We start from the raw sequence: 17124 nt of genomic DNA, 5'->3' as shown, positions 1-17124 counted from the left end.
CACAGCCTTAGTGTATCAGCATGACGAGAGCAGCATAAACAATCTGAAAAAAATTAGACTTTGGTTTTCCTTTTATTAATTGTACAATTTAGTATTTTCATTGTTATTTTTCACAAAACTAGAGGGAAAAGGAACCATATTTTTTTCCCAGGTCTTCATGGCCTCTCCACACCTTTAATCTGGCTTGGATCAGGCAATAATATCTCAGATTTCAAGGGTAGAGTGCTTTAGGTGTTTGGCTGAACTCTAGACTTAAGGTGGCTGGGCATGGGCATTGGAAACAAGGCTCAATAATAAATATGGTGGTACTGCATTTGTGTGAATACAAAGCTGGCTGGCCATGTAAAAATTCTTCCTCTCCCAGCCGGATGTGGTGGCTCACGCCTGTAATCCTAGCACTTTGGGAGGCCGAGGCGGGTGGATCACCTGAGGTTGGGAGTTTGAGACCAGCCTGACCAACATGGAGAAACTCCGTCTCTACTAAAAATACAAAAATTAGCCGGGCATGGTGACACATGCCTGTAATCCCAGCTACTCAGGAGGCTGAGGCAGGAGAATTGCTTGAACCTGGGAGGCAGAGGTTGCAGTGAGCCAGGATCACGCCATTGCACTCCAGCCTGGGCAACAAAAGCGACACTCCATCTCAGAAAAGAAAAAAACAAACAAACGAACAAAAAATTCTTCCTCTCCCACATAATTCTGAATGTCTTTTTATAATTAATGTTTGGCATTTGTTATGCTAGCTATTATGAGAGATTTTTAAACTCACAGATTTGGACTCTGTATTAATTTTTGCAATAAGTATGCATTTATTCTCCTTTGCAATTATTTGTAGACATTGATTCTAATCATTGTTCTTAGAAGAAAGGTATAAACATAACTATTTATAAAGGTACATAACTATAAAGGTACATAACTACACACTGAGAGATCAATTTCTTTAAATTTGAAAACAATTGAGTAATTTGGAGTCACTTTCCATGGCTTTCTGTATTAGATCATTAGTAGAAAAAAATTATGTAATGTTTATTGGGGGAAGGGTTCCTGTGAATAGTCTTTCATTGCTTCAAAATGCCAAACATTATAAAGAACAATGAGAGAAGATAAATTACCCTTCATGTCAATAAATGAAAACCTTGAGGTTGATAGTAAGTTTACTTTAAAAAGAATTAGGTTGAATATTCTGAAAATTATATGGCATAATTGAATAGTGTAACAGTGTAAAATGACTTTTAAAAGCTTTGATACAGTTTTTAACTTTGCAGTTATTTCTCAGTGGTTTCCATTTTTAAAACATTAATCTTATGAAAAATAATAGTTTGTCTCTCTAATAATACAAAGCAGCTTTATGTTCATTTGAAAACTTCTAAGGTTTTAGCATGTTTCAGTGAAGATTTTTATTTCATATACAGTATTCATAGCTATGAAAATAAATAACTGCATGTTTCTTAAAATTGAGCAATTTACTCAAGTATTAATTAGAAATAGTAAAAAAAAAGAAATTCCTTTTTTATTTTCAGTGATTTGAAGAAAACTGCTGGGAGGTACATGGTATCTAGCTTTACTATTTGCTGGCTAATGCCAGAGTCCTAATCCAGTTTCTGGCAACACAATTTTAAGAATTCTTTCGGTGATAGGATAAGCAGTGTACCTTTTAAGTTACAACATTATGTAAGGTCTTCCATCAAGTATTCAGTTAGAGTAGAAACCTTAAATGAAAAGCCTGATGCTAACAAGGATGACAGTTTGGGGCTGATTTTAAAATTGGTTCCCAACTTCCAGTTCAACTCATTAGAGATAAAGTGGAGAACTACATGTAATATAATATTGAGGGCTATATGCAATGACTAAAGGTGTGTGTCCTGAAGTTGTCTGGTCGTTGCTGGATATGTAGGTTGCTTGGAATAAAGGTGATGAAATAAATAGAATTAACCATGAAGATATCCCAAAGAACTAGCATGTGAAATGTTATCTGGGCCCAGAAAGCTATTGCATGGGGTTTACAACAAGTATTGCCTGTAAAATGCATTAATTATATGACACATATATATTTTTATGTCTTGTACACTTTTTCAAAATTCAGGAAGTATATGAATTACTTTAAAAATATTACCCAATTTCTAGTTACTTTTTGTCATTGTGTATTTCCTTAATGAAAAATAATAAGAGTAGAATTGTTATTATGGAATCTTTAAATTTTTTAATGTTGAACTCGTCTTTACGAACTCATCAGAATGTCTAAAATTTGAAAGCCTGATAACATCTATGTTGTTGAGGATGTGGAGCAACTAAAATTCTGTGTGTTGGTAGGAATATAAAATGGTATAACAGCTTTGGAAGAAGATTTGGCAGTTTCTTATAAAACTAATTGCGCACCTACTACGTGTGTACTACTAATACTCTGTGACTCTGCAATTTCACTTTTAGGTTTTTACTCACAAAAGAAAATGGATAAAACTAAGCTACTGTAAAATAAAACAAAGTAACAAAAACATCTACAACGGTAGTTGCATTTGTGAGTGGGAATGGGCATTGGGCATGAAGGAACTCGGTGGTGTTAGGAATACTCTAGATCTTGTTAGGGGTTCGAGGTAGACATATATATGCATTTGTCAAAACCGATTGCTTTTAAGATTTGTGCCCACATCACAAATTTCACAGTGAGTAAAATTTACTTAATAAATAACCATTAACAAACATTCATCTGTAGTTTATGATGTGTATGCTAAAGTGTTTAGGAGTAAAATGTATCAATGTCTGCACTTTGAAATGCATAAAAAATAAGATAAACTGATGGATGGATACAGGGATGAATAAAGAGATAGATGGATACATCTGAGATAAAGCAAATATAGCAAAATGTTAATTATAGAATCTAAGTGATGGATAATGGGTTTTTTACTACACAATTCTGTCAACTTTTTCACTTGAAATTTTCCATTATATCAGAGGAAAATGAGTCTTTATTCTAAAAAAGTTTCAAGTTTTAAATACATACCTTTTGGAATTTATTCTAATTCAGGCTGAAGATATGGTAGCGTTCTCTAAGTATAGGTTTTCTTTTTTTGTCTTTGTCACAACAACTTAAAATTTTGTTCCATCCAATCACATCATCTTAATTGCCATTAACATGTTACCTTTATAAATCAAATTCCTTGGTGTTACACATGTAATCCAGTGATTAATATCATTCTTAGACACTGTATTAGTTTCCTGTGACTACTGTAAAAAATTACCTCAACCTTGTAGTTTAAAAACAATGAAAACATTTTCTCTCACAATAGTGAAGGACAGAAGTCCAAAACTAGTTTCCCTGGCCAATATCAGGGTGTCATCCCCTGTCTGGAGGCTCTACGGAAGAATCCAATCCTTGTCTTTCCAGCTTCTGATAGCTACAGGAATTCCTTGGCTTGTGGCCACATCACCCCAATCTCTGTTTCTGTAGTAATATTGCCTTCTCTTCTCTGTCAGTGTCAAATCTTCATTTGCCTCTCTCTTGTGAGTATGCTAGTGATTGCATTTACAGCCCACCCAGATAATCCAAGATAAAATCTCTCCATCTCAAAATCATACCTGCAGACACTCTTTCCATGGAAGGTAACATTTATTGGCTCTGTGAATTAGGACCTGATGTCCTTGGGGGTCACCGTTCGGCCTACTACAGGTATTTTTTAAGTGTGCCAGGTTCCATGCTAGGGCCTCAATAATGATAAATAACATTTAATTGCTTACTGTATGCTAGGTGCTGCTCTACGTACTTTACATTTGTATTTTTGCTAAATAAAAAAAAATGGACTTGATTTAACATAAACTTACTGTTTCTTGCATATGTCAAATATTAAAGCCCCAGAGTGCTAGTTTTCTGAGAAATGTACCTTAGGAAATACTATTTTGTTCTAAATAACCCTGCCTTATTTATGTGGAGGATATTTAAAGTTGAGAAGATTGTGAATTCCCTTTGGGAAGAGATTTATCTGTCTTTGTATCCAAATAATTAATGACAAAGTAGATGTTAGCAAATGTTTGTTAAATGACTAAAAGTGTCTTTGCAAACGTTATGAAATGTAACCTTCACAAAATCCTTGGAGGTAGATATTGTAGTTTCCATTTTATAGAAGAGACTTAGAGAAGTTGAATTTAGTTCCCAACTTCAGTACCAGGTTCTAAACACACACACACAGAATTTTGGCAGTCAGCATTGCAGATGCATTTCCATTATCTATAACCAATTGATTTTCTACCTGAAGTGTTAAAATTCAGTAAAATACAGGTGTAGTGAAGTATCATCTCTGTTTTATTACTGTATTATGTTGCTAACCATGTACAATGATACTTTCTGATTTTTAAAACTTTTTTTTGAGAGACCAGTTTCTCATGGATTAAGTTTACAATGCTATTAAGAAGTGGGAGGACATTTTCTAAATGGATGCAGAATACTTTGAACTTTCTTAAAACGTCAGCCTTCCACCAGAAATGCCTCAAGCATATCTAGCCTTTTTGTAGCTTCTTTTGAACATCTGATTTTTTTAACTCCTATGATATTATGCATAAATTACCATGCTTCCCTCTTTCTTTGGTTCTTTGAAAGCTTGAAATTTTATCCCACTTGTGGAAGCTTTCCAGGTCTGAATTATATGAATGCCTTCAGGATGGGTATATCCCAGATTTTATTATTTTTCTACCTATTTTTTACCCTCATTGCCTTTCTCAAATATTTCTTTTATAGTTTTATATGAATTTCTAATCGAATACAGCTAAATATAAGTAAACAGCTAAAATAAATTTGGGCTCCTTAGTAATTGTGCAATATATGGAGTATTATTTCTTTTCTTTTTCCCCATTACAGTGTTCTCTCCACAAACTTAAATTACTAACTCAACTAATGCTTCCCTGAGTATATATCCACATTCGCTAACTTGCTTATACTGTTACCTTTTATAATTTGTCACCTTTTTCAGAGTGCGATATGTCATTGAATTGCTCTTACTTTTCCCAGAGCCCCAAATGTTGCCAAATGGCCTAATAGTATTGTGAATCTAATGACCCTGTCTGTGCTTACCTTTCAATAAAAGATCTCCAAAAAATGAATTTATGCTCTAACTTTATTTTTTTCTATAAAATTCTGTCATTACCAGGATGGAATTCATGATGCCCTCACGACCTATAGAAGCACAAAACTGACCAACTGATTCCAGGCACATTTACCTGCCATCTCTTTCAAACACCTGCCATTGCTCCCCTTCCTTATTCCACTAATGACTTTTGAAAATAATAAACTATTTCTCCTGAACTCTCAATCTTTCTTTCACAGAATGCCAGAATGTTATGCCTTTATTTAGTTGGGTACTTGAAAGGAGTGCTGTTTGTGTAGAGCAGAAGTTTTTAATACAGTTACTCTCTTTTGCTAAATGGTTTGTTGATTATGCAGACAGAACAGTAACTGTATTAATTAATAGTAGATCATTTCAAAATACGCCAAAGAGATGCACTGTTCATTTTGGTTTATCCTTTAAAATAACGCAAATCTGAGTACTGGATTGGGAATGTTGGTTGTTTCTGCTGGCTGTCAGACATGATGTTGCCTGCAGAGGTACCCACTGTCTGAAACAAATAGTGAAATGTGCCTTCTCCTTTCTCCGTGTTTACTTACTGTCTTGCTTTTGCAACTTTCTGCAAGGAGAAAATGGGTAATACTTCCTCCCTGTGGTCTCTATCAGTCTTCCACACTGGTTTCATTAGCTTTCCACCACTCTCCCTATGAACAGAGATGTGTTTCTCTTCAGAGGGAATAGACTGGTGACTAATCCATGCAGAGCAACCTGGACTTTTGTGATTATGGTATTTCAGAGGTTAGGCTGCTAAATTATTTTATTTAGTGCACACACAACAACTATGTATTTGTTGATTTAGTGACAATATTGATAAGGAAAAAATATATTTGTTAAGAGTTCTCTTCATAAGTGTATGTACATACATGTACACGTATACTACATAGTCCTTTGATTATAAGTTATTTATAACCAAGTTTTTGCATTATTAAACAGTTTAGAAAGAAACCTCTAGAAGTATATTTATTTTACAGACAAATGGACTTTTTAACGTTAGGAACCACTGAAATGGCCTGATAGCCTGAGAAGCTACGTAAGATTCAATAGCCTCTTCTGGAATCTCGAATTCTAATCCTATAGCATTTACTTGAACATTAAAAAGGAAATGTGGAAGACTTTCTCTATCCTTCGGTTAAAAAAAAAATAACCAAAATCAGCTATCTTCCTTTCTTTTGGATTAAAAAAATAAACTACATAATTTTTATAGAGAATTATTGGTTGATGCCTTTTATTGTCACATTCTTTTTTAAATATAGTCCACATATTTCTATAAATAAAAAGAATTATTTTTTAAGTAAAAAGTTATCTCTCTGCATAAACACAGTGCACCAAAACAACTTAACATGACCTGCTACCTCTTTCTTACAAATGTTACAGCAAAGATGATTTGCCTCTGATGTGAACATTAATGTGCAATTATATGGGAAAAATAAGAGTAAAGCAATGGCAGTCCCAAGAGCTTTGGAAGCAGGTTTTATATATTCAGTGATGATCCTTGAGACTCAAAGGATTCAGAGTACAATCTGGCTAAGTATCAATAGTGTCAAATTTATGTAGGTCCCTGCCTTCCTCAAGCTTGTGTGATTCTTCTCCTTTCTTATTTCTGAATGAATATGTGGGTTACTTTGTTCCCACTGCCTACACTTTTTCTGCTCCCTAATCTACAACTCCTTCCTCATTCCTTCCCTTTTAAAAAATAACAAGAAGTCATGACTATCCTATTCTGCCATCCTGCTTGCAGGATTAATTAGTTTTGTATAATCTCTATGTAAAATCTCCTGTAAAATTTTTTTATTAGTTTTTGATCAAACCAGAAGTTGCCAGGCTTAAAAATTAATGACAAAGTGCAGGCTTCCTGGTTATGAATGTTTAAAGCATACGGGAAACATTTGGAATGAAGATGTTGACCTGCTTTCCTCTGTATTTGATTATAGCTATCTAATTATAAGCTTTCAAAGGCATCAAATTAGGTACCGTCTTCATTGCATTTAAAATAACTAAACTTTTTTTTCGTATTACTAAAACCATTTTTGAACAAAATTTTGAGTGATACATTGGGATGCTTAGAATCATTCTTAGCTCAAGTGAGAAACCATTCCTTTAACTTTTATAAATTATCTTTACCTCCTGTGTTTTGTAGTCTTCTGAGAATTTGGCTTATCCAAAAAGAGATTTTATGCCTTCCCAAATGAGAAGGAAACCTTTTGTCAGCATCTTGTCTGAGTTGCCTCCTTGGCTACACAGGTCATGGGAGGTCTGTGTTGAACATCAGTCTTTGGCTGTAGCACAAAACTAGTATTGAAGCACAGGCCAACTCCCAGAGCACAGGGGTTAAAGAGGCAATTAGTCACTGCAAAGCAGAGTTGTGGCTGTCTTCTGGTGAGGAAGTGCTTAACTCTTTCATGAATGATGCCTGAAATCTCATCTTCTGAGTGCTTTTATATTCCACTAAAATAATTTAGTCTTAGCCATTTTAAATTAAAAGTAAGCTTAAAATACATGCTCTGTTGAACTGAGACTTTCATATCAATACTTATAGCAGTTAAGATAAAGGGAACAGGCTGGGCAGAGAGATTATCATCAATTATATGTTTAATATTTCACCTAAATTTCACGGTATCCTTTTTAGCTATTTGGAGCCCTGACAAATCTCTTTACAATGTTTCTAGTTTTCACTATTAATGTTTTTGTGGTGGGCATCAGTTTCGAGTTGCAGAATTTTGCCTGACTCTTTTTCAGGACAAGAATGGTCTCTAAAGAATTACAATTCATTAACCTAGATTGTAGTTTTAAATGTTTTAGTATTTCTGCTTTTCTAGGGTCCTGAGCTTTTGTTTCCACATGGTAAATCCTTGTTACATGTAGGGTGACAAAGTCTTCTCTTCTGCTGTCTGTATTAAAATATGCCAGAACACCATAAAGATAGCACCAGTCTTAACTATATCAAAATTTTACAGTATCTGGATTCCATTAGAGTTACGGATTATGAATTGATGGAAACTCACAAACCTTAAAAGATGGAGGAGGTTTCTTAGCATTTCCTTATTCAAAGTAACTAACTACATGTGTTTCTACCGAAGAATGAATAAACTGGTGAATTAGGAAAGCTTGCCTTTAATTTTTTTTCTAGCGTTTCCTTTAGTCCTGAAATATTTTATTTACAGGACTAAAGGAAATGCTGACCTTCAGTTGATTTTTGATAGTTATAGAGATAGTAATATGACTTTGCTGCTCCTAGGTAGGAACATTAATATCAACTACAGTCACAAAAAATAAACAATATTTGATCCATCAAGGTTATAAGTATTATGTTCATCATTTTATAATAATGTGGCTTTTGATTATATCTTTTAGTATTTCTAAAACATAGTTTACACTCAATGAAACATTCTTGAATTAAGTGAATTAATTAATAAATAAAGCTTAGCATCTTTTTTCTGCTTCTTGCATATTCTGAGGAATGCTTAGAAAATGTTAACTTGTTATGTAAGGTTTAGTTAGTTATGGTAATGGATGGATCAATGGCTAAAATTAAAAAGCAAGACTTTTGGTTAAGTAGATCTGAAATATTAAAGCCAGAGCCAAGTTTATTGCAAGTTTGTTACTTCAATTTCTGTACCTGCCCCTCAGAAAAACATTTAATCGTCTTGTTTCTTAGTAGCTTAAAGAAAATGTGCATTTTAAAATATTGCAGGCTTTATTCTGTCTAAAATACATTTTTAAAGTATTCTAAGAAACACTCAAATTAAGTTTAAACATTTTACTATATAAATGAAGAAAAATGTATTTTCATAACAGCAGGTTTGTGATGGCCATTCCTAAATATATGAAAAATATTATTTTGTTGGTATATTACTTTTTCATTGCTAAATCCTGTTCTCCAATGAGAAAACCTATTTAATGTTAGACACTCAAGGAGAGAGTGGTCCAGAAAGAATCAGCAAATGACATCTGCTCTGCCTCCTTTTCCTTAAAGGACACCCTCTGTTGGCAAAGATGCAAACCCGTAGTACTTAAGTTTTAATAACATTTCAGTTTGTAGGCCACCTCTTGTGATGTGTCTCATTAAAACATAAATAACAAAACACTGCTTTTCTAATTTTGTAGCCTTCCATTACTTCTCAGTGTGACAAAATGGGCATCGGTTTGCTATTGTTTAAGTAGCAAGAGCTTAAATTAATCTCAGCCACACTAATCAGATATTGGCTTTCTAGAGAATAACATTTGGTAGTGAGAACTTAATGAGTGTCCGGAGATAATTGTTGTTAACTGGTGGAGTTGGTGATATTTTGCATGTCACTCCTAGTCTTTGCCCCTGTGGTATATTAAGAACGTGCTTTGAGCAAATGCTCTCGCATGTTAATTGCAAGTCAACCTTTAAAAAAGAATTTTTCTTGCGGTAAACATCTCTTCTATGAGCACATCTTTAGAAGTTTACATGAAAAATTGACTTAGGTGTATATTTGGTATTGTGTTGTCAATAGGATTGAATAGAAGAGCATTTACAAAAAAAGTATACTGTAAAATACAAAGTGGATTTAACATATCACCTTGATACCATCTGTCATGTTCCAGAAATAATCTTATATTTGTCATTTATGTATAGCTGTTTAACTTGAAGATTAAAAAAAAACTATTTCATGCCATTTCTGCAAGGTTAAGATGTCCTATTACTTAGAAAAAGTAACTATAAATATAAGACTCATAAATGAAATTGTATTCAAATGTATTAAGGGGAAGCATACTATTAATAGATACTTGATTACTTCTTGGCCTTTTGACTGAGATCAAGTGTATTAATAGATTCTCGAATTGACTCATCTTGTAAAAGTTTACTTGTAAATTTACCTCTTTTGTGCATAGAAATCTTTTATATTGTGCATTTTCTGAAAGCAGAGTAAACCTATAAATTATACCCATTCGTTTACTGCACTGGGATTGGATTATTCTTCAGTAAAACCTGATTTGGAGCTTTAGAAAAATCAATCAGATATCATTATTCTTTCTGTAAGATACCAAATTGTGTTTTGGTGACCTCTGCTATCATTTAAATGACCCACGTATGAATTAGTGGGGATGAGCTTCTGCAGCATGGAATTGGACTGTTTGCTCTCGTTACTCTCTTTAGATCTCGTAAACAATTTTTACTCCTTTCGTGTGGGGCCTGTGTGTGTGTGTGTGTGTGTGTGTGTGCGCGCGCGCGTGTGTGTGTGTGTTTGTGTGTGTGTGTGTGTGTGTGTATGTGTTGTAGCTACTTAAGCCCCTACCCACTTACCATCTATGTAACATAGGTTGGATTCTTGGCTTGTTTAGTTTCAAGAAATGATGAAAATGAGGTTCTATTTCTAAAACCCCAAATAGATCACTTTTATGATTTGTTTCAGGAGTTTTGAGGTTTGATCCACACGTTTATTCAACCTAAACATACCTAGCTCCCAGATGCACTTATTTGCCAATTACTTTACGACACTCTTCATAGTTCTTTGTTTTAGATCTGTGGGGTTGTTTTTGTCTTGTTGCATTTGTGTTTCACTTAAAGATATATCTATTATTCAAATATAAAAGTGACTTAGGAAAGAACATCCTAAAGTTTATTTAGAAATTCACCAAGCCACATACTAATGCATCTCTGCTGGGGACATTTCTTTTCACACCTCTGAGGTGATGGAGCCTGTCCTTTAAAGTGAGATTTGCAAACCAGTGTCTGGCAGCTCCAATTAGCTTCTTTAGGGTTTGAAGCACATCACAAACAGTAACAAGGTCTCCTAGGACACTCCTATTGCAAGCGATGTAGTCATATTTCCTCATTAGTTCTTTTCAATTGTCACTAATGCCATGTTCTAGCTTTTGAGTAGGAGACAAAAAAACATAAAAATTTGGTATGTATGTAGAATGGGCCATTGTTTTCCATAATTCAAGGCTCTTTTGAATTCCTTTGATAGTTTTGAAGCTTACACAGCTTAATTCATTAACCTTTACCCTTCACATAAATCATATGATTACGAATCTATTGCTAAGGAGACAGATTTTCCCTCCACTGAAAGTAAGTAATGCCTTCTCATCTTTGAAAAAAAATCCTATCTAGCTTACCAAAGTAACCTTTCTGTTGCTTTTCATATTTCATCAAATGTTTCAGGTGCATTTTAGAACATTATCAAAACCAAGTGAGCATAAAATTACATTATTATCAAAAATAACTCTGGATGCTTAGGATACTTTGGAGCAGGTTTTCTGGCCCTTTCTCTGTATTCCAAAAGAGTTTATATATATGTACTCAACAGCTGTTACTCAAGAATTTACAATGGTAGCAATGTCTTTTTTTTAATTCTCTTCAGACCCCTGCCAAAACATAAAAGCAGGAAAATAAACTGAGGGTAGGCAATTCAGAATAAATTAAAGTATATTTAAATGAACCGAAGACATTTGATTTGGATAACTTTTTCATATGGAGTTATCTTGTAGAGAATGATGATATAGGGCTCCAAAAAATGTACGTGATTGTTCTGTGATTCCCTGGAGGTAAGACTAGAATGTCTTTTGATTCTTTTATTCTCTCTTGTTAAGACAGATCTCTCCTTAGGGTTTAGTAATCTTAATTGTGCTTGACATTCATGAGCTACTTTAAAAGTATTTGATATTCCTCAGCATTTATCCACTATGCCATTTTCCCATGTTATGAATTTTTCTTAATTATCTTATACACGGATACTTTCTGTAAGGAGACAGTTCTTTTTCCAAATTTTATAACTCCTTATGTTGTCATACATGAAGTGGGAAATCTTTGAACCTACTGATCCATAGAGAATGGCCATGTGATATTCTGAGCTTTGCCTATAGGAGTGATGGGGACAAGGGGTTGGGGAAAAATAGGAATAACTTGAATTCTAGATTCTGAGTTTAGAGACTCATGGCTTGCTCCTACAGACCAAACTAATTCATGACTATGATTAATGAATGTTCTTCTATGTAGTATCTGTAAGAAAGGTGATGAAGAAGTAAACATTTTAAATGTGGTCTTTGGTTCTGTCACTCTCCTTCTCACTTCAAGATTATCACTTTGCACACATTTCTCTCTTTTATTGGTATCAGTTTATAAATGCCTCTTAACTTGCTGTACCTGTAGTCCATACTAAGATTTATGACTTTGTTTTTTGCATACATACTATACAGTGAGCTGGGAATTGCTCTGATTTTAATACACCAAAGGTTATGACTAGAGCCAAGATTCTTTGTGAAACAGTGGAATTATTTAAAGTAAGTATGTTCACAGACTTGTGTTATGTACTACTTGTAAGCATGTTATAGAATGGACTCTAAAAGTTTCAGGAGAAAAGGATAGTCACCACCCACAATCTCTCATCATGAACTGCTATCACCACATGCTGCCAGGGAAACGCGACATAGGTGGATTACGAGACTTTAGACACTAGCCGGGAACATGAGGTGGTGTTCCATTTCCACCAATTTGTAGTAATGGGATAATACAAACCACTTCCATTTTCAATTCTTGAAACAACAGCTACTTTATCTACCTATTTCAACCACTCAATTTTGTGTCTCAGTATATATGACGTTTATGTCCAAAATCACAGAATTTGGGGTTTCTCTTTTCAAATGTAAAATCCATAACAGATATAAAATTAATATTTTGCTACAAGTTTTCCAAGGAGTATGGTTTTGTCTCCATGAATTTTTACTTCAGGAATAATTTTATGTTGTACATGACTTTTAGCACACTGGCTGTGATCAAGGTAATTAAAAGTATTTGGAAAACCTTGTTTACCTGAACTTTCAAGAACAGCAGAAATGCTAGGTGATTCTTTATAAAAAGCAAATTGCTTTTCTCTTATATTTCTCCCTTTTTTATCTGAAAGACACTGCTCACTCTTAATCATGTGTTGTCTCTTGGCCACTGTATTGCCTCCTGAGTATGCTAAATGATTTTATAATACGTATTCATAATTGTCTACACCTCTTGAACTTTTCTCTGTGAATAGCGGGGAAACCTGATGCTCATGACCCTTTATCAGTTTTTAGGACAGTCTTTATCCAGTGATTGATCATCTTATTTTATATAAATGTTGGTTCTTGTTGCTTATGTACTAACATTTGACTTGGCTTGTACAGTGAAGTCAATTTGTGTCATTTGCTATTTGTAGTCATCTGTATGTCTTTAATGTTCATATGTGCTTATAGCATATTTAATGTAAAATCAAGTACAAGGAAGATAAATAGGATATTGCACTTGTTTAGAGCATAATCAAATATGAATCAGGCATTTTGAACTATTCAAATAGAGCATGAGAACAAACTGCAATTAATGATTTTTGGTGGCCACACAAAATATTGGATGTGTTAGTTTTTTTGGTAGGCAATGGAAGAGGACAGTGAGATATGTATATTTGATTTGACAGAAAGCCGTCAGATTATTTTTTAATGATTTAGGATATTATAGTCTAGGGCCTTTATTTGTACTCTTAGCGTGTAAAAATAGTTTTTACCATATAAAATGTTGTTATTGTTGGTAATGTTTCGTTTCTGTTTTTATTCTTTTTTAAATGAATTTATTTAAATATTATGTTATAACCAAATGACGTGGAATTAGGCTTTAAAATTTCCCTCACAACCTGTATCAATCATAATTGCATTGTGTTGCTGTTTTAAGTTTCCTGTTTTAGACATGGAAAAGTTTATCCATTTTTTTATAGATCTTTTTTGAATAGGGGAAGAAAAATAATGTTTATTCGGTTATTCTGAGGAAATTTGAAATGTTTATCATTCCATTAAAACAAAATTCCATAAAAAATTTTTAAAAAACATATATGTCTTCTCTATAACTAATTTAACCTTCAATAATGAATTATGTGAAGTAAAATTGTATAAAATTTCCTGACATTTTATGAAGATTCCTACAAATAAGCCAGACAGCAAATAAAATATAGGAAAGACAGAGATGGATACTGAGTAATTTTTTGATAGATTATGCACACAGGTATCAAATTACTTGATCCTTACTTCCTAGAAAAGGTTAATGACTCTTTTTGCTTTTACCCTTTTACTTAACTGTTATTTATAAAGATTAAAAGAGGGACTGCATTGAAGGGTGCATTTGCCTGTGTGTCTGTATGACTACACAAATTTTTCTGATATTATAGGAAACTGAGCCACAAAATGGATAATATTGTTAATCATTACTTTTAAAGTTCATTCGAATCTGTATACAACTTCCGCTAGGCCTATTAGAGCAGAGTGCACCATTAAAAAAAAATGAAACTTAAATGAAACCAGAAAAGACAGTCTTACATATCTGTATCTATATTGTTAAAATGGCCTAAACCTTTACAACAAATTACTTACAATATTAAGAATAAGATACTTTAAAGTAAAAGATTTTAAAGTTATGTGTGTATATTTTCTTTCATCTTTAATCTGTAAAATTATAGCTTTTTAGAATATATTTGATATTATGTTGAATAAAATTTTGCAAAAAATACTATTTCAGTGCTACCTAATTCCATCATTAATAATTGAACCATGAGCATATAACCATCTACCTATAATAACGATCTATCTATATTCTACAGTTCTATTATAATAAATTATTATTATATAAATAATATATATTCATTAAATAGCATATGTTTACTAGTCTTTTATTACCAAATGTAACATTACTCTTATGGGAATATTTCTTTTTAAGCTGTTTGGTTTTAAAAGATGCACTAGTCATAAATGTATTTAAATAAAGTCATTTAGGTATGACAGCACTTGACTTTAAAGCAGGGAATATAATACCTTTCCTGAAACACCATTAAAGAAGCTGTGGCATTCACCAAATACTGACCTCTTCCTATTATATTCAAACCCCTGCTAATTTAACTTGAAACGCATTAGTATAACCACTTTTTGTATGTTTCAGGTGTGTGGAGGTCATTGCAAAGGAAGGACAAAACCTGAAAGAGCTATATTTGGTGTCCTGTAAAATCACAGATTATGGTAGGTAATGAACCATTTTCCTAATCCTTTCTAAGAATAAAAAGTTACAAAATCATTGAAAGTTCTTAAAAAGAAATCAAGAACTATATCATAGAGACTGTCTATCGTCACTTATGCTCATTGTGACCATACCAAAAAATAAAAATAAAAAAATTATGAGCTAAGAACCAGAGTAAAATGAATATGCATATTACTTCATTGCCACATGCAATCACACACACATGCACACATGTATGTTTGCACACACACACTCACACAAAATTAAAAAGTATAGCTAAAAGAGGTATACAATGAAAATAAGTTTAACAATAAAATGTTGAGCATAATAAATATAACTAAGAAAATTATTACATTGAGTTTATTTGCTTAATGTAATATCATATCAAAGGCATATCTGCTGACATTCTAAATGCCAAACTTCTTAACACTTTAAATTCTGGAAAGCATTGGGAATGTCCATTTGTGGATATAGGAAGTAAAGGGTATACATTTATATGCAACATTTTAAATTATCTTACATTTCAATATTCTTTTAAAGTGGTGAAAAGCAAGTTGTTTTCTACAATTATGAAAAATATGAAGTCATATTGTCGCAGTAATAAAGAAAAATAACCTAGCCCTTCCTTTTTTGTTTAATTTTGTAAATTTTTTCTTAACCATTTGTGTATTTAATCTAATTACAGAGTTTTAAGCAGAAAATATATTAGGCTTTATAAGAGAATGAAATGGTTTTCGTTTATTTTCTCTGACTTTTTGATTTTTTCATTTAAATTTGAGAATATTCTTTCTACCTTGAGGGAAGTTAATAATCCATTAAGTTTTTATTGTTAGCTCTGACATATAATAATAAATGACTCCAGTCCTAGGATGTCACACTGACCATCTACCATGGATGGGAGAGTTGTCTTTTATTAGCTACTAAATTCATCTTTTTGAAAAATTTTACTAAACTCTACTGAAGCTATAATTTTAAAAATAATCTAATTTTTTTTTTACATTTAGAAACACACCTAATTTCAGTTTATCTTGGAGAATATGTCTTATAATGTTTCTGGGTTGTGAGTTTTTTCCTAATTTTGCCTTGTAAAAGTAGTGTTTTGATATATTTTTCTTTACTTACGTTGTTTGTTTTCTGGTTTGGCAATTAGATTGCTACTTAGACATGGTTATCTCTCTAAAACTTCTTATGTCTTGCATTGTCTAGACCCTAAAGAGTTCTCCCTGACCAACACACGGCATATTGAGAGAGAGAGAGAGAGTGTGTGTGTGTGTATGTGTGTATTATATATGTATATTGTATATATACCCATGTAGATTTGTTAATTAACTAATACTTTGATTTGTTCATTTGAAACTTGTCATTACCTGCTCTTCCAGTCTTTTTGTATATTTCCCCCTTTTTCACTGCCAATTGTCAGGTAGCTAATAGCCAGGAGTTATGGATAGTAAATCCCTTATAATGAACTCTTCTGAGATTCTGCAGTGTAAAATGTTGTTAAAGTCACACTTTATCCTGAAGGCATAGAGATACTTCATGTCATAACAAAGGCAGTGCCCAGCACCTACTATTAAGTTATCAAGTACAAAAAGAAATGTTCCAGAAGATAATTGAGAAGGTAAAAAGCTCTGGAGTTGAGACAGATCTGGGATCAAGTTCTGTCTTTGTTCTTTGACCTTAGGGAAGTTCCTTCACATATAGGACACTCCATTTCCTCAGTTGTAAAATGGGGAATTAATGTCTGACTTCATGCTTCTGTATGTATCTGGTACCTAACCTCGTGAGTAGCACAGTGTACACTGCTAGTAAGTGTTGTTTTTCTACAGGAGTGGGATAAAAACAAGATTCACTTAGAATTTTTCTGCCACCTTTCCTTTCCTAAGTCTTAGAAGAGGTTTATGTTAAAACCTTACCAATATGGTTTACATTTATTTGTGTCTCTGAATTATTTTAGTTCAGTGTTTCTCAACCCTGTCTGCACATTAGACTGTCTGAAGAGTTTCTAAAACATATTGACGTATA

At 33.1% G+C, this 17124-nt stretch overlaps 1 protein-coding gene across 4 annotated transcripts in view; it reads left to right on the top strand.

Moving 5' to 3' along the window:
• FBXL17 (F-box and leucine rich repeat protein 17) overlaps nucleotides 1–17124 on the top strand; it is a 523064-nt gene that overhangs the window by 346070 nt on the left and 159870 nt on the right. For all 4 annotated transcript variants that reach the window (NM_001163315.3, XM_005272048.5, XM_011543574.4 and 1 more), the window contains exon 7: nucleotides 15028–15104. In NM_001163315.3, the coding sequence (NP_001156787.2) occupies nucleotides 15028–15104 (77 nt within the window). The remainder of the gene's footprint in view (nucleotides 1–15027; nucleotides 15105–17124) is intronic.

This window comes from Homo sapiens, chromosome 5, assembly GCF_000001405.40.
Source record: "Homo sapiens chromosome 5, GRCh38.p14 Primary Assembly".
NCBI lineage: Eukaryota > Metazoa > Chordata > Mammalia > Primates > Hominidae > Homo > Homo sapiens.
This window is presented reverse-complemented; position numbering and strand designations above follow the sequence as displayed.